General features: G+C 37.8%; 1 protein-coding gene across 1 annotated transcript in view; it reads right to left on the reverse strand.

Annotated features, from left to right (window-relative positions):
* The window catches only part of USP34 (ubiquitin specific peptidase 34), a 283,625-nt gene that overhangs the window by 63,197 nt on the left and 195,119 nt on the right, over positions 1-25,309 (reverse strand). The window contains exons 42-48 of the mRNA NM_014709.4: positions 15,325-15,508; positions 14,738-14,898; positions 9,052-9,117; positions 6,545-6,691; positions 6,393-6,449; positions 6,214-6,291; positions 5,725-5,819 (exon numbers count right to left, since the gene is read on the reverse strand). Coding sequence (NP_055524.3) covers positions 5,725-5,819; positions 6,214-6,291; positions 6,393-6,449; positions 6,545-6,691; positions 9,052-9,117; positions 14,738-14,898; positions 15,325-15,508 — 788 coding nt within the window. The remainder of the gene's footprint in view (positions 1-5,724; positions 5,820-6,213; positions 6,292-6,392; positions 6,450-6,544; positions 6,692-9,051; positions 9,118-14,737; positions 14,899-15,324; positions 15,509-25,309) is intronic.

A 25,309-nucleotide genomic window follows, 5' to 3' on the forward strand; every position in this document is an offset into this window, starting at 1 on the left:
GATTGTATTTGAGCTTGCACATAGTTAATTGAAGAGCTGTTATGATCCTTGTATGGCTGCATCACTTGTGTGTACTTGTTCTGTAACTCCTGCATTCCTAATTTAGTAAAATCAAAGAATAGACACTAAAATCAGGCCGATCTACAATTATACTTAAGGGATCAATAGGCAAGTCAGAATGATTAATATCTACTGTAGGCTGGGTGCGGTGGCTCACGCCTGTAATCCCAGCACTTTGGGAGGCTGGAGCAGGCGGATCATGAGGTCAGGAGATCGAGACCATCCTGGCTAACACAGTGAAACCCCGTGTCTACTAAAAATACAAAAAATTAGCCGGGCGTGGTGGCGGGCGCCTGTAGTCCCAGCTACTCAGGAGGCTGAGGCAGGAGAATGGCGTGGACCCGGGAGGCGGAGCTGGCAGTGAGCCAAGATTGTGCCACTGCACTCTAGCCTGGGTGATCAAGCGAGACTCCATCTCAAAAAAAATAAATAAATAAATAAGTAAATAAATAAACGAATCTACTGTAAAAACTTGGTAGTAAATTTTCACTGGATATTAGACATAAATATCTGAATACAAACAATTTTACTAGTCTTGATGTAGTACTGTAAAAATTATCTATAACTTAATTCAGCTAAAAAACTATATTTCAAAAGAATGAATAACACTGATATTAAAATCACTACTTTAAAGAGTTTGTTCAAAATAAATATTGTGGCCTTATATTACACTATTGTAGAAAATATTGTTTAATTTAAATGAATGCAGGTTGTCTACTAAAGATTACACATAACTATGCTAATTTTTCTTAATAAATAGAAGCCAAGATATAACTACAAACTCAGCTGTATCGTTTATATACGAAACTATTGTTGCTTTTGCAGTATAAGGTCTTCATCCTCTGATTATTAGGTAACCACCTTGGATGATGAGTCAGCTGCTCAGTATCTTTTTACTCTTCATCACTCTGCATTTGTTAATTTATTCCTATCCTTTGTCCTCAACTTTTGTGTGCTCTTAAAAATCAGCTTTATTCTAAGCAAATTTGTGTCTACTTTAAAAGACTGGAAATGAAAAAAATCTTTGCCAAATCCATCAGATTACTGTATTTACATAAGGTTTAACATCAAATGCCATAAAAGCTTCTTGATGAAACCAGGACTGTTCCCCATTTGGACATTTTTTTCTTTCTACAGCATCCTTGTTAGAAAGGCCGCCCCCTTGATATACTGTATATACGTGACTGTGCATTTGTTTCATCTTTCCGTACTCAATTCGGTTGTTAAATAAACATTTTAATTTGTTTAAAAAAAAAAAACAGCAAACACACCCACAACTTTTTCCATTCTGAAAAGATTTTCCTATGTCGAGATAAGAAAAATAAAATGTTATGGTAGACTACGGTAAACACCATGATAAAGATACAAAAGGGTGCTATGGAAGCATGAAAAGGAGTTCCATCATTCTCCAGGGCCAAGGAGGTCTTTGGTTCAGAGTTTTCCTTTCTTCCCTAAATAAAAGGAATCAAAGTACTTATTTTTGTGAACCAGAATTGCAAAGTCTGGCTGTAATCCCTTATTAGATGAATGACCCTATATAAGTTACTTAACCTCTCTGAGCTCAATTGCTGGGTTGTAAAATGGAGATTACCTACCCGATACTATCTTTGAAACACTGCCTGGCAAACAGCATTCAGTTAAGTGTCAATTGCTGCTACTACAGTAACAATAGCAGCAGCAGCAGCAGCAGCAGCAACAGCAGAAAATCAACTGGTCACCTAAATCCTATACCATAACATATTGCTAGTTCAAGTTCAATTTAAACAGACAAAAATATACAAACTCTGATTTACAAAAAAATGAATTTTAGGGAATAATTTTCCACTGCACATAAATATCAAACGAGAATTTATTTAAACCAAGAACACAGTCAAAAATACAAAAAGTATGAATTTAGGGAAACAAGGAATGAAAGATGTTACAGGCAGAGGGAATAAAAAGTTCAAAAATTCACTATTTTAGATTATTTGGGAGACTGACAAATGAAGTATAACAGAGTCAAATGTATGTAATGATAGAGTGTGAACTTCATCCTAACAATTCTGAAGAATAACTAATGAGCTTGTGGCATGGGGTGAAACCATGCATTGTGTCAATAAGTAAGAGAGATGAGCAGATCCAGAAAGATTGGAGAACAGGTGACAGAGCACAGCAAAGCATTCTAAACTAAGATGACAAAACAAAACAAAACACATCACTAAACTACCTTCTGGAAAAACCCAATGCTTTTATTCAGCTGTCATTTTCTTAGTTTAGAATGCTTTGTCAGTAGCATATTAGTAAAAAATTGGTATTATGGTGATTGATAAGTTACTGAGGTAAAATGAATAGATTGAGAAAACCAGAGGTCTGAAAATAGAACAGTATATGATCCTATTGAGGATAATAAGCACTTTGTTCACTTCCTCAATTGGCCCATTTCTGTTGATTATTATGTTAGTACAGAGATATAAAAGTATAGTAAGAACAAAAATGACTGACTACCTGGGAGAGATGTGACAGGTATTTCAGAAAAACAGCAGAATCTTATCAGTCAAAAGAAGGGAGTTATCAAGAACGACAGATTTATTCAATACATTTATTCCAATTAGAGATTCTCCAAAGAACTTGACTCAGACCCTTGATGATCTTTTGGTGACTCATTTATTATATTCCTCTACAGCAGTTAACTTTTGACTGACTCCATTTTATATACGTCCCTAACTCTTATCCTAACCCAACTCTCATCAGATGAGTTTGTCTTCTTCGTGTAATTGCCTACATAGCTACGCTTTCATTTGACTATGTCCACCTAACAACTTGCCCAACTACCCTTCTTGAAATTGGAAAAATGAATACCATCCCTTTCAAATAAATACTGACCTGGAAAACCTCCTCTTAAGCAATTTTAGTATCTTATTGTATAATGACTTTTTATTCTCTGCCTTCAAACATGCTCAGATATCTTTCATCTAGAAAAATCCTTTGTTTGAGCCCCAAGACTCTTTCTGGCTACTATTTTCCTTGCTGTTTTTATTGCTTTTTTTTTTTTTTGAGACATAGTCTTGCTCTGTCACCCAGGCTGGAGTGCAGGGGCATGGTCTTGGCTCACTGCAACCTCTGCCTCCCAGGTTCAGGTGATTCTCCTGCCCCACCCTCCCAAGTAGCTGGGACTACAGGCGTGAGCCACCACAACCGGCTAATTTTTGTATTTTTAGTAGAGACAGGGTTTCACCATGTTGGCCAGGCTGGTCTCAAACTCCTGACCTCAGGCAATCCACCTGCCTTGGCCTCCCAAAGTACTGGGATTACAGGCATGTGCCACCGTGCCTGGCCTGTTGCCAAACTTTAAAAATCAATGATTTATGCTTGATTCCATGTGTCCCGACAATGTTGCTTCTATTCCTATAACCTGACAAAACACATCACTAAACTACCTTCTGGAAAAACCCAATGCTTTTATTCAGCTGTCATTGTCTTTCATCTCTGTGAATTATATTAATTGATTATTTTCTTCTTGAGATTCTCCTCCCAGTTTGGGGGTTACCATTTTATCCTAATTTTCTTTCTTTCCTTGTCTCTCTTCTGTCACTTTGTCCTCTGTACTTTTAGGTTGGCTTAGCTCTTAAGTCTTTTCCAACAATTACATTATTTCTCAGGCAGATATTCTGATAGATTCAATCACACAGATAAACCTAAAACTTGGATGGCAATAATCTGATGCCATCGTGTTACCAATCTTGTTTTCCACTACTGTTCCATGTGAATACACTACTTAAAAATGCAGGCTGGCCTAATCCTAGATTTTTTGCACATTCAAGGACATTTCTATTTCTCTGCATTCGTTCTTAGTAACTAACTGCATAAGATGCTCTTTTCAATCCGATTTCTATTTGTCTTTCAATATAAAATTAAAATGTTTACTCAACTACTCTGTCCTAAACTTGCCATTTTATGGCTCTTAAGAGCCTTTTGGCCAGGTGCAGTGGCTTCATGCCTGTAATATCAGCATTTTTGGAGGCTGAGGTGGGCGGATTGTTTGAGCCCAAGAGTTCAAGACCAACCTGGGGAACATGTGAATCATCAAAGAATAATAATAAAGGGAAAAAATTGTATAATGTTTGGCACGCATTAGTAGAACAAGTATAGCATTTTTTTTTCTTTTTTGAGATAGGTTCTCAATTTTTTGCCGAGGCTGGAGTGCAATGGCACAATCATGGCTCACTGTAAGCTACCTCCCAGCCTCAAGTGATCCTCCCGATTCAGCCTCCCGAACAGCTGAGACTGTAAGTGCATGCCACGTCTGGCTAATTTCTAAAACTTTTTTAGCAACAGTGTTTCCCTATGTTGCCCTCAAACTCCTGGGCTCAAGTGCACATCCTTGAACTCCCAAAGTGCTGGGATTACAGATGGGACCCACTGTATGTGTAAGGCAATTTTTATTTGAAGACCACTAAATTATTATTTTCCAAGAAATTCTACTGAAAATGAAAGCTGAGGAAGAATATTTTTGATCAATGTACCAAAATATACACATCCAAAGATAACAACAATACACTGGAAGGGAACCAGCTTGAATGTATTATAGTATAAACACTTATTTAACACTCTAACTCAACAGTTACTAACTCCCAAATCTACCTCTATTCTAGACCTCTCACCAAGCTCTAACTGTAACAGCCAACTGCCTGCAGGACCTTTCTAGCTGGATGCCCCAATGAGAACTCAAATTCAACTTGATTATCTCCCTGAAATTTGCTTATTTGTATCTTAGGAATCAGCATTGGGAAAGTTTCTTTATTCTGTGACTCCATGTCTTCACATGTAAAATGGGGATAATAACAGCATCTATTGCAAAGAAATGCTGTGAGGATTAACTGGATTAAAGTTCTCACAACAGTGCTTGCTAAATAAAAAATACTTTGGAAAGGCTAGCTAGTACAAAAAGTCCCTAGTTAGCTACTACAGAAAATTCCAAAAATAAACAATTCATAAGTGGTGTGGTGTTCTGAGTATCATGATAAAATCTTGTACCATCCTGCTTAGGATATGAATCATCCCTTTGTCCAGCTTATCTGTGTTGCAGACACTACCCACTTATTGGTCACTTAGTAGCTCTCTTATTACATGGGCTGTCATAGTATTGCAATGCTTCTGTTCAAGTAACCCTTATTTGACTTAATAATGGCCCCAAAGGGCAAGAATACTGAGCTTCATTTGTAATTTAAACTTTATCATAGGTATGTTATGCACAGCAAAAAGCAGTATATATAGGGTTCAGTACAATCTGAGGTTTCAGACATCTATTGTGGGGTCTTGCAACATTTCCCGAGGATAAGGGGTTCCACTGTATTACTTAAGAAAATGTCACAAAAGCTAGACATCTGAGACTCGATACAGATAATGATGAAAATGATCAATGTACTTATCGTCCATGTATCTGCTCCCCAAAATCTATACTGTTTCAAGTTGAGTGATTACCACTTTCATACAGCTCAGTATATGTCAAAATAAATGGTAATTCACTGAACAACTAGATGAAAAGTTGCTCCATGAGACTGAGCTCCATGCAGCTGATTTTACCTTCATCATATAATTTCCACCAAAGTTTAATCTTAGTTTACCCTTAGTTTGTCTTTCACTTCTACGGTGAACATAATAAAAATCACATTTGAAAAAGCATACCTTTTTTCAGCTCGTACTTTCTTCCCACAATGAGAACAAGTATACATGTTATCACCTTCCAAAGTGTCTTTTATAGTAACTTCATCAAGAGATTCCTGTGTATAAAACCACATTTAAAAGTTTCATATTATTGTTTATAGCATGCAAATATACAAAAGGTGGCAATTACAATTTTGACAGAATGCTCAGCAAAAAAATTTTTTTTTTAAAAGTGAATTCTTAAATTTTAGTAAAAAACTGTTTTTCCTCATATTAAGATATTCTATGAATCTTAGTAACTTTTTTGAAGGGTTAATTAAAAATTTAAATTTTGATTGGGCAAGAAAAAGCTTTATGGTTGATGTTTAACTCTTATTTGAATAGTACAGTAAGAAGAAAATACATAAAAACATGAAAAAAGTTTAAAAATATCAAGATGACCAACACAAACCCGCTATACACAAATAGGTAAAAGCATAAAGTAAAAAAATTATGTGCATTATTACTCACATAAATGTTCTTCATATCAGCCACTTGGCACCTCACAGTATAAAACTCTTCAGCAGTTTGACTAACATGTTCACAATCCTAATCAATACACATAAAAAATTAATAAAAACTAGTAAATTATAATATAAATGAAAATATATTAAGATCTCCAAAAAGTAAAAACCAGGTATAATACTTACCAAGGATACAACATTGTTTGTAATTACACCTCCAAATAAACTTTTGACGGTATTTTTCTTTAATATAAAACAAACAAAAAATAAGAAACTAGTTAAAACGCAGGCAAATTTGTTCAAATTTCAAAGAAACTTTTCAGTATTCTGATACTAACCAGTTCGGGAGACATTTCTTCGATTTTGGTAATTAGATCAGTAAAAAACTCTGTCATATCTTTCTGTTCCCCAGTATTCAGAGGCTGCTTATCCATGGTGTATGTTTTACAGAAAGGTCTAGGATTATATGCTTTGCATTCACTCTCCTGCAAATAAAAAGGGGAACATTCTAAGTGTCAGATAAAAATAAGAAAATTATAGGTTCTTCAATGAACATATAACAAAAACAAAAGAACAGGTAGTAAATCTACTAAGTTAGTTTTAAATGGTTGCTTCTATTTCTTTCTGTTTAGTTTTCATAGTATTTTTAATTTAATGGTCTTGGTGCTAGAAGATTCTTAAATTACCTAGGATATTTGTATTTTCAAGTCAAGGAATTTCTAGGAAGAAATCTGAGACTCAAATGACTCACAGCCGGGCACAGTGGCTCAAGCCTGTAACCCCAGCACTTTGGGAGGCCGAAGCAGGCGGATTATGAGGTCAAGAGATTGAGACCATCCTGGCCATCCTTTACCAACATGGTAAAACCCCATCTCTGCTAAAAATACAAAAACTAGCTGGGTGCGGTTGCGCATGCCTGTAGTCCCAGCTACTCAGGAGGCAGAGGTTGCAGTGAGCCGAGATCGTGCCACTGCACTCCAGCCTGGCAACAGCAAGACTCCATCTCCAAAAAAATCAAAACAAAACAAACAAAAAAAACACTCACATCTATATTGCAAAGCATAAAATATACAACCTTTACAGGCCGAATAAACTTTCCCAGAGATTGAACTTTGTTTTAATAGCTTTTAAAATAGTCATTTAAACCAGCAATTTTCTATTTGTCAATTCAAATGGCACTTGCAGCTCTGTTAAAAGGAGATTAAAGGCCAGGTATGATAGCTCATGCCTGTGATCCCAGCACTTTGGGAGGGTACGGCGAGTTGATTGCTTGAGCCCAGGAGTTCAGCACCAGCTTGGGGAACATAGTGAGACTCTGTCTCTACAAAAAATAAAGAAGATAGCCAGGCATGGTGGTACAAGCCTGTGGTCCCAGGCAGTGGAGCAGTGTCGAGGTTGCCATGAGACGAGATGGTGCCACTGAACTCTAGCCTGGGTGACAGAGTGAGACCCTGCCTCAAAAAATAAAAATAGTCAAAAATACACAAAGAAGTATGACACAATCCCTGTCCTCAAGATTTAACAGGTGAGAAAAGTAACATATATACAAGGCAGAAACAACAAAGAGGCATGGTGACTTGGAATACTCCGGTTAATCTGTGGAATAGATGGTCTCTTAGAGTTTGAAACCAAGCTGACTCTTGAAAAATGAACATCAGAAGAAAATGGAGAAGAGTGACACAGGTAGGAAACAATGGCATAAATAAACCCACAAGCAATGAAGCAGCAGGGTGATGGGCTCCAAATGGAGAGGGATAAGATAGGAGGTTGAAGGGTAGGGGGAAAAAACCCAGAGGGTGTGTGCCATGGTGATGAGCTCGAATACCATTCTGTTCGTAATGAAGAAGCACTCAAGAGTTTTAAGCAGGGGAATAATATTGTAAGATTTACTATCTTTTTAAAAGATTGATCACTTTTATAGTTTTAGGCATTGTAATTAAGGGATACTAAGATAAATCAGCTAGAAAGCTGCAAGCATAAAAGGGGAGGACCTTGTGACAGAAGAAGGATGAGACACAACAGATTCTTCAAAGGACAAATTAACAGAATGTAGACAACTGAGATAACTTTTAGAAGTTATTATGACAAATAACAGAGATAACTGACAGACAGCTCCGGGCACGGTGGCTCACACCTGTAATCCCAACACTTTGGGAGGCTGAGGCAGGCAGATCACTTGAGATCAGGAGTTCGAGACCAGCCTGGCCAACATGGTGAAAGCTGTCTCTACTAAAAATACAAAATTTAGCCAGGCGTGGTGGTGTGCGCCTGTAGTCCCAGCTACTTGGAAGGTTGAGGGAGGAGAATCACTTGAACCTGGGAGGTGGAGGTTGCAGTGAATTGAGATCACACCACTGCACTCCAGCCTGAGTAACAGAGCAAGACTCTGTCTCAAAATAAATAAATAAATAAATAAAAAAGTAAGAAAAAGAAAGGTACATAGTTATGACAAAGCCAGTTCAAACGAGCTCCATTTAACTTTTTTAGGTTTTGTCACAGGGTACACCTAATTTGTTTCCCTCCATGTTTCTTTTTTTTTTGAGACAGAGTCTCACTCTGTCACCTAGACTCGAGTGCAGTAGTGAGATCTCAGCTTGCTGCAACCTCTGCCTCCTGGGCTCAAGCGAGCCTCCCTTTTCAGTCTCCTAAGCAGCCGGGACTACAGGCACGCACCACCATGCCTGGCTTATTTTTTTTTTTAGTAGAGATGGGGTTTCACCATGTTGCCCAGGCTGGTCTCAAGCTCTTGAACTCAAGCCATCCACCCACCTTGGCCTCCCAAAATGCTATAATTACAGGCATGAGCCACAGTGCCTGGCCTAGCCTCCATGATTCTTAAACATACCATTAAATATGTAAACATTTTCTGAAGCTCCAGAAGAGTGGTCTTGTGCTTCATATCCTCTGAATACTGAAAATCAAGAGAAAACACCATTAAAAACACAGACATGATGGTAGTAAATTAGGCATTCTAGCAAAGAAAGTCTTGCAATGTACACTGTATCTGTTTTCATTCTTTTGGCTATATAAAAGAAAAACACCAACACATTCAATTCTTTAGTAATTATAGCATTAAAAATTGTAATGCTTTGTTACATAAATACAGCTATTACTATCTTATAAGGAAACCGAAGAGAGAATTTTAAAAATCACTTTCTAGGTTAACACTTATTTGGTACAATGCTGATGATTTCCAAGAATGCAAGAATGAAAAACACTTCAGGTGCAATCAAAGTTGTCTTCCACAAGTAAACCTACACATTAAAAAAATACATTTGAAATATTAACCAATGACATCTCATCATCATTTATTCATATCTTTACTCTTTCTGGAACAGTATATTCTTCACACTGAAGAGGAATACCAGCCAGGATCTTTGAAAACTGTCTAAATATTCAACTATCAATAAGTCAAATTCAGGAATCTGGCTAGACTCACACATTAGAGATTTAGTATTGAACACCAAGCCTTATAGGAAAGATCCATATTCATGCAAGGTACTTATTACACATATTCCACCTCACTCAAGTATTAAAATGAATCTATAAAGTAGGTATTATTCTTATTACAAATTATTACCTCTCATAACTTTGAAAGTCTTGTGGAATAATAGGCGTCCACAAGCTAAGAGTATACATTAGTTATTTTTGCCAGCTTTATGGAAGACTGCAAGTAATATGGCTCTGCTGTTTAGCAGCTTATAATCAAATTGAAGTCAAGATATGGACTAAAACAGAGATCTGTTCAGCATATAATTACTATAAAATTATATATTAAACTCAACAGGAATTGAACAAAGGGAATCAACAAAATTGGCAAAATAATTCCAGTGTACTCCTGTTATATGAGAGGCTTAATATTCCATATTACGAAAAAAGTCACACAAAATGAAATTTTCCAACGTATCAAAGTATTGATTCAGGATACAAAAAAGTTCAGGAATAAAGACCTGGATTTATATTTTTATTATTAGAGAATGAAGTATGAGTTGGCTAAAGAGCTGCCTAAATTTATTAAAGTCAAGCAACAACAAGGGAATTTTACTTAATGCGCAATTTTTAAATAAATACATAGCCTGCATCTATATGTATTTACTACTTAAAAAATTGTGTTCACATCCATTAGGATGGCTATTATTAAAACAAACAGAAAATGTCAAGTGTTAGCAAGGACGTCGAGAAATTAAACCCTTATGCATGCAAAACGGTGTAAGCCCTATGGAAAAGGTAAGGCTATTCCTCAAAAAACTAAACACACAATTCCCATATGATCCAACAATTCCACTTCTGGGTATACACCCAAAAGTAGTAAAAGCAGGAACTCAAACATGTTTGTACACCCATGTCCGTAACAGCATTATTCACAACAGCCAAAAGGTGAAAGCAACCCAAGTATCCACTGATAAGTGAAAGAATAAATAAAATGTGGTAAATACAATAAATTATAATTCAGCCTTAAAAAGGAAAGAACTTCTGACACATACAACAGCATGGATAACCCTTGAAGATATCCTAAGTGAAATAAGCCACTCACAGCCAGTCACAAAAAGACAAATCTGACTCCACTTATATGAGGTACCTGAAACAGTTGAATGCATAGAGATGGAAAGTAGAATAGTGGTTGCAAGGGGGGTTGGGAGGGAGAATGGAGAGTTAAGTGTTTAACAAGTTTCTGTTGGGAAGGTGAAAAAGTTCAAGATGGAATGGTGGTGATGGCTGCAAAATAATGTGAATGTATTTAATCCCATCAACTGTATATATGTATAAATGGTTAAAATGATGAATTTAATGTTGCATATATTTTACCACAATTAGAATATATGTAGCTTTCTTTAAACTTCATGTGAGCATCAGAAAAGGGAATAATATAATTAACTGAAGTGTTCATCTTAAGAATAAAGTGCCCACTTGACTAGAGTACTTGCCAGAATCATATCAAATTCTGTTAAGAATTTTTGGCTGGGCGCGGTGGCTTACATCTGTAATCCCAGCACTTTGGGAGGCCGAGGCGGGGGGATCACGAGGTCAGGAGTTTGAGACCAGCCTGGCCAAGATGGTTAAACCCTGTCTCTGCTAAAAATACAAAAATTAGCCAGGTGCCTGTAATCCCAGCTATTCGGGAGGCTGAGGCAGGAGAACTGCCGGAACCCAGGAGGCAGAGGTTGCAGTGAGCCAAGATCGCGCCACTGCACTCTAGCTTGGGTAACAAAGCAAGACTTCGTCAAAAAAAAAAAAAAAAAAAAAAAAAAAAATATATATATATATATAGATAGATAGATAGATAGATAGATATAGAAATATATGTACACAGGTCTCCTTTTTTTTTTTACTGTTTACTCTTATTTTAGGTTCAGGGGTACATATGCAGGTTATATAGGTAAACCGTGTGTCACGTAAGTTTGGTATATAGATTGTTCTATCACCCAGGTAATAATAGTACCAATAGGTAGTTTTTCAATCCTGTTCCTCTTCCCACACTCCACCCTCAGGTAGGACACAACGTCCATTGTTCCTGTGTGTCCATATGTACTCAATATTTAGCTCCCACTTATAAGTGAGAACATATGGTATTTGGTTCCCTGTTGCTATGTTAGTTCACTTAGGATAATGGCCTCCAGTTCCATACATGTTTTTGCAAAAGACATGGTCTTGTTCTTTTTTTATGGCTGCATAGTGTTCTATGCTGTATATGTACCACATTTTCTTTATCTAGTCCACTGTTGATGGGCATGTAGGTTGATTCCATGTTTTTGCTAGTGTGAACACTGCTGTGGTAAACATGCTTGTGGATGTGTCTTCATGGTAGGATGATTTATATTCCTTTGGGTATATACCCAATGGAATAGCTGAGCCGAATAGTAATTCTGTTTAAAGTTCTTTCAGAAATTGCCAAGCTGCTTCTCACAATGGCTGAACTAATTTACATTTCCATCAGCAGTGTATATGCATTCCCTTTTCTTTACAACATCGCCAGCATCAGTTATTTTTTGACTTTTTATTAACAGCTATTCTGACTGGTTTGAGATGTTATCTCACTGTGGTTTAGTTTTGTATTTCTCTAATGATGAGTAATACTGAGCATTTTTTCATATGCTTATTGGCCGCATGTATGTCTCCTTTTGAAAAGTGTCTGTTCATGTCCTTTGTCCACTTTTTTTTTTAAGATAGAGTCTTGCTCTGTCACCCAGACTGGAATGCAGTGGCACAAACTCGGCTCACTGCAACCTCCGCCTCCCAGGTTCAAGCGATTCTCCTGGCCCAGCGTCCCGAGTAGCTGGGACTACAGGCACGCACCACCACACATGGAATTTTTTTTTTTTTTTTTTTTTTTTTGAGAGAAGTCTCGCTCTTGTCCCCAAAGTTTGAGTGTAATGGCTCGATCTCAGCTCACTGCAACCTCTGCCTCCCGGGTTCAAACAATTCTCCTGCCTCTGACTCCCAAGTAGCTGGGATTAAGTCACCTGCCATCATGCCTGGCTAATTTTCATATTTTTTAGAGGAGACATGGCTTCACTATGTTGGCCAGGCTGGTCTCAGACTCCTGACCTCAGGTGATCCGCCCGCCTCGGCCTTCCAAAGTGCTGGGATTACAGGCGTGAGCTACTGCGCCTGGCCAAAGGCTTTTTTTTTTTTTGAGACAAAGTCTCGCTCTGTCGCCTAGGCTGCAGTGCATTGGCGCCATCTTGGCTCACTGCAACCTCCGCCTCCTGGGTTCAAGGGATTCTCCTGCCTCAGCCTCCCAAATAGCTGGGATTAGAGGTACCCACCACCATACCCAGCTATTTTTTTTGTATTTTTAGTAGAGATGGGGTTTCACCATGTTGGCCAGCATGGTCTTGATCTCCTAACCTCGTGATCCACCGACCTCTGCCTCCCAAAGTGCTGGGATTACAGGCGTGAGCCACCACACCCCACACGCAGCTAATTTTTGTATATCTGGTAGAGATAGGGTTTCACCATACTGGCCAAGCTGCTTTGTCCACTTTCTAATGGGGTTGTTTCTGCTTGTAAATTTAGTTTTTAACTAAAAATACCGTTTATGAGATCTACTCATAATCAGCACATCTGAGTGTTCCTTCTGTTTCTACTAATTCCTAGAAGTGTTAATAGCTTTAAAGGTGGTTATCAATATGAAGAAGTAAAACCAAGAAGCATGACCAAGTTGCCAGCTAAAAAGAAAACCACTGAAAACATGCTTCTTTGATAACTGCTTTTATAAGACTACGCAGATGGGTATACCAAATTTATTCAGAAATATTTCCATAAGCTAAATGAACTAATCATTCAACTACTTTTAGTCATAATGTACAGAGATAAATTTTAAAGTATCAATAACTAAAGCCAAAAAACCCAGAACCACTTGGGTAAACTATGAACTGGAGACTTTAAAGAGTAACTTAAACATAATAAATAATTCAGTGAAAGTATATAAAGCACTGCAATACTTAACAGGGAAAAAGAAATCAAGACAAAAGATAACATGATGAGGCCAGGCTTGGTAGCTTTATACCAATAATCCCAGTACTTTGGAAGGCCAAGGTAGAAGCATCTTGTAAGCCCAGGATTTGAGACCAGCCTGGGCAACACAGTGAGACCCTGTCTCTACAAAAAGTAAAAGTAAAAAACTCCGCCAGGCATGGTGGCATATGCCTGCAGTCCCAGTTACTCAGGAGGCTGAGGTGGGAGGATCACTTGAGCCCAGGAGGTCAACACTGCAGTGAGCTGTGCTCACACCACTGCACTCCAGTCAGGGTGACAGACACTGAGTCCTGCCTCAAAAAAATAAAAATAAAAAATCCAAGAGCAAGTATAAAGGAAATTCATCAAAAAACTCTAAAAGCAGTACAAAAGGCAAACTAAAAAATAGCCCATAGTTGGCCGGGCATGGTGGCTCACACCTGTAATCCCAGGACTTTGGGAAGCTGAAATGGGAGGATTGCTTGAGGCCAGGAGTTGGAGACCAGCCTGGTCAACACAGAGAGACCTCATCTCTATTTATTATTTTAAAAAACAAAAATAGCCCACGGTAAAAAAGAATGAAAACTAGAAAGTGAATAAAAATAACATGAAGCAGAGCTTACACAAACAAATTAGGTCCACAATTTGATTCACTTTGGGATAAATATAAAAGAAACAAGCTAAGTGATTCTGGTAATACTTCTCTACTTGGATTCAGGGTTTCCTTATTTTCTCTGTAATAAAAATATGTATTTATTTATTTTTGTTTTTTATTCTCATATGTTCTCCCAGTGAATGCGTTTTTACTGACAACATGATATTCATTGTATACACTGAGCATGCATATTCCATAGCTGTGTTTTCCTTTGAGAACTAAACTGTACTACAGCATTATGAGTAATCTACTAAAATGTATAACTATGTAAAATACACATTAGCTAGTTACTGTAATCAAATTTACTTTTATTCACAAATTATTTTTTCAAACATTTACTACATTGAAATAAAAATTTATCAACAAAATATTAAAATCTGGTTTATAATTTTGATTTTTAAAGTGAGGAAAATTCTACCTTGGCAGTGAAGACAGCCTGTCTTGCCTCAGGTATCATATAAAGTTGCTGAATAGTAGAAGCTAAGTAACAAGTAGCTCCAAGGTTAGTAAGGCCAACAAATCTACATTCAGCACGGACATCTTCATGAGGCCAGTAATCCCATTTATAAGGTGCATGGGCTGCTGAAGAAAGAGGGAGGAAAAGATCCCCCCCAAACAAACTATGAAACACAATGTATTTTGCTTACATTAACAGCCTCTACCTCCATTAGTTACCTCATTAATATATATAGAACATTATATAGAATTTTTTAAATAAAAAAAAATACAGATGAAAACTAATTTATTCTCTAAAAATTCAAGACTTTTAAAACTTGATTTTACTTGGCCCCAAATTACTTTTACAGAAAAAGCCGAAGTATTTAAAATGCATATAAAAAGGTCCTTCACATCAATGTTTACTTTTTAACTTTAATAACACCCTACCAATAATCATTTATAATGTTAAAGTGTGTGAAGAGCAGATTCTTTTGTTAAACAGTGCCCTCAAAATCTTATTTCTGAATTCAAAATCTATAAAGATTAAAGGAAAAGAAGAATGCTTACACTGCATGTGTTGTGCCATAACCCAGTTGTGTATTAGCCTGTAGTTCTCAACAGACCCCTTTACCATCTCTACTAACAAATCGTAAGCGGCAGCTCTTGAAGAATGTGATTTGCACTTTGGCTGTTGTCGGTCCTTTAGACTTGGCAACAAAAACAGGAGATTGAAGATATCTCTCAAAAATTCCTGGGGAGTAAAAGGAAACATGTTATCTAAACTGAGATATTAATTACATTCCAAATATAGTTAACATATACACAGGATGACAGGCTACAATTAAGCTACTCAAAAACGTATAGCAGCATGATATACCATCATCTGAAAGTCCTCCGTGTTCATTTCTCTTAAGAGAAAACGAAGGCGGCGATCAACTTTTACTCTTCTCTCCTTTTTGATACCTAATAAGCTCATTCTTAGACTCTTCACGTACAATGTTGTTATTTTCTATTCCATTAAGTGATGTAAAGTTTTTGTTAAGGCCTCATTATTCCCTTGACAAGTCTGACTGGCGCTTCTGCATTAACTTTCCCCTTACTTCACTCTACTAATAAATAATAGCAACAATAACAGTGGCAAAATCAACAGTTTACTTATACTGTTGAAAGGTAGTACTGTTGTACTTTTTCCAAAATTAAGTCTGTCTGAGAAAGTGGGTGCTGGGTTATCTTTTCCACTTATTCTTTTCTAATTGGTCCTTTGCTATTTTACCAAGTTATCACCCTCACACATCCCAAATAGTACTATGGTACATTGGTCTGCAGTATAAAACCTCCTGGAGTACTGTGCAGAAAAGAGATAGCACAGTAAGACTGAGACTCTTGATACCCACAGAAAGGCTGACCTTTGCCTACAGTCTGCAAACGTCACTGGTAAGTAAACAGCTCCCTACATTGATACAAAACTCTCTAAGTGAAAACAGTGGCTCACTGTGCCTAACGGGTTTATGCTAAAGACCTGTTTTCCTTTCAGGAGTCTGGAGTTGGGGCAACTATGGTGAGTTATCCAGTCACTATGTGCCCACATGAGCCACCCTGTGATAAAACCAAGGACTCCTAGGCTCAAGAGAACGTTCTTGGTATACAATACATCACATGCGTTGTCATGCTCACTGAACACATCTTGTGGAACTCCAATGGAAGACAACCCTTGGTTAAGTTGCAACTGGCTTCCTCCAGACTTCGCCTTGACACCTTTTTCTTTTCATGATTTTGCTTTGTATCATTTTGCTGTAATAAATCTTAGCCATGAGTATAACTATATGCTGAGTCCTGTGAGTTAGTGAATCAACAAACCTGGGGGTGGTCAGGGAAACTCTTGAAAGACGTACCAAAAACAGAAATTTTTGAAATGTTTTTCCATAATGACCTCACCTCTTTCATCTATTGTTAAAGAATGTGTAATTCATAGTTCTTAGCAAAGAAACGTTAAGTTTAGCTAGGAAATATGGAAAGTGGTTAGGAGATTTTTTTTTTTTTTTTGGAGACAGAATCTCACTCTGTCACCTGGGATGGAATGCAGTGGCACAATCTCGGCTCACTGCAACCACCGCTGCCCAGGTTCGAGCGATTCTCCTGCCTCAGCCTCCCAAGTAGCTGGGATTACAGGCACCTGCCACTACACCCAGCTAATTTTTTGTGGTTTTGTTTGTTTGAGACAGAGTCTTGCTCTGTCGCCCAGGCTGGAGTGCAGTGGCGCCATCTCGGCTCACCCCAAGCTCCACCTCCCGGGTTCATGCCATTCTCCTGCCTCAGACTCCCAATTAGTTGGGACTACAGGCGCCCACCACAACACCCGGTCTTAATTTTTTGTATTTTTTAGTAGAGACGGGGTTTCACTGTGTTAGCCAGGATGGTCTCGATCTCCCGACTTCGTGATCCATCTGCCAGCCTCGGCCTCCCAAAGTGCTGGGATTACAGGCGTGAGCCACCGCACCCAGTTAATTTTTTGTATTTTTAGTAGAGATGGGGTTTCACGATGTTGGCCAGGCTGGTCTCGGCCTCCTGACCTTGTGATTCGCCAGCCTCAGCCTCCCAAAGTGCTGGGATTACAGATGTGAGCCACTGCACCTGGCAAAGGGCTTATTTTTATAAGCCTTTCACAGAAAGAACCTACTCATATACTTCACAGAAAGAAGAACCTACACAGACTATGACCTCAGAGAATATTAAAAATAGTTTTTGGTGACTGATATGGTTTGGGTATTTGTCCAATAAAAGAACTGTTGTCTTAGTCTGTTTAGGCTGCTGTAATAAAATATTGTAAACTGGGCCGGGTACAATGGCTCACATCTGTAATCCCATTTCACCACATCTAATGGTGAAATGTGCTCCCCAATGTTGGAGGTGAGGTCTAGTGAGAGGTGTTCGAGTCATCAGGGTGTATCCCTGAAGAGCCTGGTACCTACCACACAGGAATGAGTGAGTTCTCACTCTTTGAGTTCATGCAAGAGCTGTTGTTAAAAAAAAAAAAAAAAAAAAAAAAAAAAAAGTGTTGCACCTCCCACCTCCCTTTCTCGCCATGTGACACAGCTGTTCTCTCATGGCCTTCTGCCATGAGTAAAAGGCTCCTGAGTCCTCAACAAATAAACCTCTTTTTTTATACCCAGCATCAGGTATTCCCTTATAACACCGCAAAATGAACTAATACAGCAATAGATAATAGGGTAATTTTTGACTTATAATTCAGAAGAAATTCAATTTAAAAAGTTATCAAAAACTTCCATGTGCACTAAAAACATTATGTAAATAAGGTTTTTTAGAATTCACATATATAAAAATAGAAAATAGGAAGAGAGAATTAATGAACACTACCATTCTAGCTTAATATTCACCTACAACTATATTAATAAGGACCATCCTTCTCACTAATGCATATATTCAGTAAAATTTCATTTTTAAATGTTTCATACTAGTTTGGCAAAACAAAGTATATTTATGCTCCTTCAATTGCCATGTCCTAATAATAAATGTAATGTAATAACTAAATATAGAAGAAATTTAAGACAATATCATGTACACAGGAAATATTTTATTAACTTACATATATTTTGTTGTAGAGAAGTATGATAGGCAAATAATAAAAGATGTTCAAAGATACTAATAAATACATTACAATTACATTCTGTGGGGGAATCAAGTGGAAATACTGAGGAGGAATTAGGAAAAAATTTAGCTAAGTAAAATTTCAGAAAGGAGAGTTTGGAGACGATCTCACTCTATCACCCAGGCTAGCGACAGTGGTGGGATCATGGCTCACTGCAGCCTCAATCTCCCAGGCTCAGTCAATCCTCCCAGCTCAGCCTCCTGCGTAGCTTGGACTATAGATGCTCACCACCTTGGCTAATTTTTTTTTTTTTTTTTTTTTTAATAGAGACAGGGTTTCACCAGGTTACCCAGGCTGGTCTCCAACTCCTGGGCTCAAGCAATCCTTTTGCCTCGACCTTACAAAGTGCTGGGATTACAGTTGAGAGTTTATACATTTTAAGAGAGATGAATAAAAGTTGCTACAGCATTTACATTTCATTAATCTAAAAGAGGACCATAATTTTGTCTTTGAAAACAATAATTCAATAATTTCCTGAATGTATATTGTCTACAAAGACTTAAAATTCACAAATTTACAAATTTAAAAAATCTTTGAGGAGACACCTAGGTTTTTCAAGATTAAGAAATATGTCAACAATAAAAGTTTAAAGACCAGTGCACTCTGCTGGCTTGCAATCCATTACCAGATTTATTTTGTTAATGTACATCCTTGACATTATTTGATCAAAACCTTAAAAGGCTCCTGTTTTTACAATTATCTACTGATACATAATAATTATATATATTAATGGAATATATTATATTTTGACACATAAATACAATGTGTAATGATGAAATCAGGGTATTTGGAATACCTGTGATTTCAAGCATTTATCATTTCTTTTATTGGGAATATTTCAAATCCTCCCTTTTAGCTATTTTGAAATACACAAAAAAAATTTTTTAACAATAGTCATCCTACTATGCTACTGAGCACTAGAATTTATTACTCCAAGTGTATTTTTGTATTCATTAGCCAATCTCTCTTCATCCCATCCCTTCCCAGCCTAAAATTACAAAAGTAATTGCCATGGCCTAAATGTTTTCGTCACTCTGAAATTTGTATGTTGAAACCTAACCACCAATGTGATGGTATTAGAAGGTGGGACCTTTGGAAGGTTATTAAGTCATGAGGACTCTGCCCTTATCAACGAAGCAGTAGAGAGACCTCCTACCCCTCCCATCATCTAAGGGCTTCATGAGAAGGTGCCATCCGTGAATCAAAAAGTAGGCCTTCACAAGACTCCGTGAATCAAAAAGTAGGCCTTCACAAGACACTGTGAATCTGCCAGAGTTTTGATCTTGTACTACTCCCAGCCTCCAGAATTGTGAAAAGTAAATTTCTGTTGTTATAAGCTACCCAGTATACAATATTTTATTTTATTTATTTTTGAGAGTGTCTTGCTTTGTTGCCAGGCTGGAGTGTAGTGGCACGATCTCGGCTCACTGCAGCCTCCACCTCCCTGGTTCAAGGGATTCTCGTGCCTCAGCCTCCCGAGTAGCTGTGATTACGGGTATGCACCGCCATGCCTGGCTAATTTTTGTATTTTTAGTAGAGACTGGGTTTCACCACATTGGCCAGGCTGGTCTCAAACTCCTGAGCTCAAGCAATCCAGCTGCCTTGGCCTCCCAATGTGCTGGGATTACAGACATGAGCCACTGCGCCTGGCCCAGTTTACAATATTTTATTACAGCAGCCTGAACAGACTAAGACAATAATGCTTTCATTTTATATATAAAAATAATTTCCTGTGCCCACAATAGATGGCCACCAAGTTTCTCCTATACTTCCTAAAACATAGGCTAAACTGAACCAACCAATTTTCTGCATGAAACCATTGCTTTCCTATGACTTAATTTTTACTCATATTCTTTCCTATGAGTTAAATGTTTCCCTTACTTTTCTACAAAAGATATCCATTAAAAAAGCTGTATCTGGCCAGGCGCGGTGGCTCATGCCTGTAATCCCAGCACACTGGGAGGCTAAGGTGGGCGGATCATCTGAGGTCAGGAATTCGAGACCAGCATGGCCAACATGGTGAAAACCCGCCTCTACAAAAACAAAACAAAACAACAACAACAAAAATTTAGCTGGGTGTGGTGACACACGCCTGTAATCCCAGCTACTCTTTGGGAGGCTGAGGCAGGGGAATCGCTGGAACCTGGAAGGCAGAGGTTGCAGTGGACCGAGATCGCACCACTGCACTCCAACCTGGGTGAAGCTTTATCTTCTTCAAAGCCTTTCCTAATCATGTCAATGCAATCTGATCTTCTAAATCTCTGATGATATCTCTTTTTAATAACTATTATTTATTTCCATGAAGTATAAATATCATGAGCAGCCATAATTTTAAGGGTACACGCAAATTTTGCATAAGACAAATGTACTGTTTGACTGTCAGTTCTAAGAATCAGGTCTGAGTTGCAATCATCCATTTGCTCAACATAGTTTTTAGACACTATGCAAGGCAATAGAGATAGGAATGATACTCATACTTTAAAAGGAGAAGAAAGGAGGAATGCAAAAGGAGGAAAAAAGGAAGAAAAAGGAAGGGAGGAGGAGAAAGAAAGGAAGAATGAAGATTAGCACTACTGGAAAGGTAAAAGAAAGAAGAAAGAGGAGAAAGGAGGGGAAGAAGGGGGAAGGAGGAGGAAGCAGTAGTAGTGATAGTGGTAGTGTTGCTGATGACAGATTATTATGCAGCTGCAAAGTGTAAAATATTTATCATGTTTCTTTATAGAAAAAATTTACCAAATTCTGCATGAAATTCAGTTCTAGAACTATTTTTTAAAAATACTTAAGGAAAAAAGTAAAAATCATTAGAGTGGAAGAGATTTTAAATATCTTGGAGTTAAGGCATATTTTCCTTAATATTACAAGAAAACCAACTGCCTTTAATACCTCTACTTGGATATCTAATTGACATTTCAAATTTAACATTTCCAAAACAGAACTCTTGGTTTTACCGCCTATTACCCTCTGACATTTCTGAGTTTTTCTTTTCTTAATAATTGGCATTACCATTCCCTCAGCTTCTCAGGCTTAAAATTCAGGAGTCATTCTTGGCCGGGCACGGCGGCTCACGCCTGTAATCCCAGCACTTTGGGAGGCAGAGGCGGGCAGATCGTGAGGTCAGGATATCGAGACCATCCTGGCTAACATGGTGAAACCCTGTCTCTACTAAAAATACAAAAAATTAGCTGGGTGTGGTGGCGGGCACCTGTAGTCCCAGCTACTTGGGAGGCTGCAGCGGGAGAATGGTGTGAACCTGGGAGGCAGAGCTTGCAGTGAGCCAAGATCATGCCACTGCACTCCAGCCTGGGTGACAGAGGGAGACCCCATCTCAAAAAAAAAAAAAAAAAAAAATTAGGAGTCATTCTTTATTAACCTCTCTCAAATCCAACATATATATCCAAATCTGAGACCTGTGAGCTCTACCTTCAATAAATATTCCACGTCAAAGCACTTTTCACCATTGTCCCTCTCTGGAACCATCGAAAAACTTCCTAACTGGATCCCTTGACTCATACATTTGCCCTTTGAGTTTGCCCACAGACTAATTTTCCAACTAGCATACGAGTAAACCCTCTGAAATGTTAATTCAGATCACATCTCTCCTGTATGAAAGCTTCTAAAGTTTTCCCTTAACACTGAAACGAAGGGGAAATTATAATTTGACATGAACATGAAGACCTTTTCAATAAAGAATGCTAAGAACAACTAACTTAACATTATTCTGAATGTTTCAGAAAAAATTTGGTGAAGAAATGGAAAGAGTTAAACTTGTAAAACAGGAAGTAATAGAATTACTTGCAGATGATTGTGACATGAGTCTGCTTGGGGAAAATAAAAGAAAAACAAGAATTACTTGCAGATAATAAACCAAAAACAAATGAAGAACCAAAGAACACTAACAGCTAAAGATAACTGAAAACAGTCTACCAACAATAAGTCAATTTCAGATGGCCTGCAACAACTGTATACACAAATTCTTACTACACATAAATGACAAGTTAAAAAACATAAGCAATGATTCCATATCAACATACCAACAAAAAGGACAAAACTCCTAAGAATAAACTTACTAAGAAATACTTAAAACCTAAATTTTGTAGGAAAAAGAATCTTCTAAATAAAAAACATAAAACGATTGGCTTTGCATAAATACAACAAATCATACTCTTCCACAGGCAAATTGAGTATCATAAAGTTAATTCTGCATCAATCTGGAAATATAATACAATCTCAACCAAAAAAGTAACACAATTTTATTTTTTTAAAGAACTAGATGAACTGATTCTAAAGTTTATGTGGAAAAATAAACAGCCAGGAAAATACTGAAAAGAAATAATAATGAAAATGGACTACCTTGGTCAGGCGTGGTGGCTCATGCTTGTAATCCCAGCACTTTGGGAGGCCGAGGCAGGCGAATCACCTGATGTCAGGAGTTTGAGACCAGCCTGACCAACATGGTGAAACCCTTCTCTATCAAAGATACTAAAATTAGCTGGGTGTGGTGCCAGGTGCCTGTAGTCTCAGCTACTCAGGAGGCTGAGGCAGGAGAATCGCTTGAACCTGGAGGGCAGAGGTTACAGTGAGCCACTGCACCACTGCACTCCAGCCTGGGTGACAGAGTGAGACACTGTCTCAAAAAACAAACAAAGGGACTATCTCTACAGGATATTAAATCTACATAATTAAGATATGATATTGGTGAATGAACAAACAAATCAATAAGATGAAACAGAAAGTCCAGAAATACATATGGTAGTTTATTTGAAAAAGGAAGCATTTGTAATCAGTAGAAAAAAAATAAATTAGTTAATTATTAGGATAACTGGGTACATATCTGAAAAAAAGTTATCCATTTCATTCCTTTCACCTAAACAATTTCCTGATAGAAAAACTTAAATGTAAAATATTAAGTTATGAAAGCATGAAAAAACAGGGAGTTTTTAAAAGTATAACACAGTATCTAGTAGCTGTAAAAGATCAATACACCTGACTACATGAAAAAAAAATTCTGGCTTCGAAAATAAGCAGGCCAGGTGAGGTGGTTCACGCCTGTAATGCCAGCACTTTGGGAGGTCAAGGTGGGCTGGTCACCTGAGGTCAGGAGTTCAAAACCAGCCTGGCCAAAATGGCGAAATCCGGTCTCCACTAAAAATACAAAATTTAGCCAGGCATGGTGGTGCATGCCTGTAATCCCAGCTAGTAGGGAGGCTGAGGCAGGAGAATTGCTTGAACCTGGGAGGTGGAGGTTGAGGTAAGCTGAGATCATGCCACTGCATTCCAGCCTAGGCAACAGAGCAAGACTCTGTCTCAAATAAATAAATAAATAAGAAACAAGCATAACAAAAAACATGAAGTCAAGACAGAAAAAAAAAAAAAACTTGCAATTCATATTACAGTGAGATAGTTTCCTTAATATAAAATATTCTACAAATTAGTTAAGGACTATAACATACATAACAGGGATAAAGGAAAAGGATCTGAGCAGTCAGAGAAAAGATAACACAAATGGCTTTCAAACACTTGAAGGGAAGTTCAGCCTTACTAATAAAAATAATACAAAATAAAACCAAGAGAATCTCTTTGCACCTATCAGACTGGTAGAAATTATCTAAACGTATAGTATGTTGGTAGAAATGCTGGAAAATTGGAAATTAATCTCAGGTTGTAGGTACAGCCATAAATTGGCTCAGCTTCCACAGACAGTTAACTTGGTTTTCGTTTTTAACATAACCAAAACTATAAACGTATACTCCATGAACTAGCAGTTCTAACTTTTAGAATGTCTTCCTACATTTCCTAAATCTATGTGTTAAATGTATAAAGATCTCTGTAATATCACTAGAAATAGTTTAAGACAATGTTGATCATTATGAAGCTAAATATATTACATATATGCAGATAAAATAATATTCTGGGCCAGGCATGGTGGCTCATGCCTGTAATCCTGGCACATTAGGAGGCCAAGGCAGAAGGACTGCTTGAGCCCAGGAGTTTGAGACCATCCAGGGCAACATGGCGAAATCCCGTCTCTACAAAAGATTTTTAAAAATTAGCCGGGTATGGTGATGCCTGCCTGTAGTCCCAGCTGCTTGGGAGGCTGAGGTGGGAGGACTGCTTGAGCCTGGGAGGTGGAGGTTGCAGTGAGCTGAGATCATGCCACTGAAGTCCAGCCTGGGTGACAGAGCCAGACCCCGTCTCAAAGATAATAACAATAATATTTTGAAGTTACTTTTACAAAATGAATAGCCAAGCATGGCGGTGTGCGTTGGCTCACATCGGTAATCCCAACAGTTTGGGAGGCCAAGACGGGAGGATCACTTAAGGGCAGGAGTTTAAGAACAGCCTGGGCAACACAGCAAAACCCCATCTCTACAAAAATAAATAAATAAATAAATTAGCTGGGTGTGATGGCGTATGCCTATAATCCTAGACACCTGGGAGGTTGGGGCAGGTGAATCACTTGATCTAGTAGTTCAAGGCTGCAATGAGCTATGATTGTGCCCCTGCACTGCAGCTTGAATAAGGAGACCCTGTCCCTTTTTTTTTTTTAAATGAACTGTTTATATACTGAATTTGAAAATATCTAAGATAGGTGAAAAAAAGCAAAGTATAGAACACTGTGTTTAATGTGTTATCATGTGTAGACAGTATTGTATAATGGTTAAAAGCTTGGCCAAGTGAAGAGTAAGTGACTCAGTCATGCACAACTCGTTTAACCTGTCTATGCCTCAGTTTCATCATCTGTCAAAATTGGGTCTAATAATATCCACCTTTTAAAGCCTCAAAAATTTGTCCTAGGATGACAACTTGTATAAATCAATAAACAGAAGAGAAGTAAAAAAATAGTAATAATAAAGAGAAATAAGACTTTGGAAAAAATACATGCAG

This window comes from Homo sapiens, chromosome 2 (genome assembly GCF_000001405.40).
Source record: "Homo sapiens chromosome 2, GRCh38.p14 Primary Assembly".
Lineage (NCBI taxonomy): Eukaryota > Metazoa > Chordata > Mammalia > Primates > Hominidae > Homo > Homo sapiens.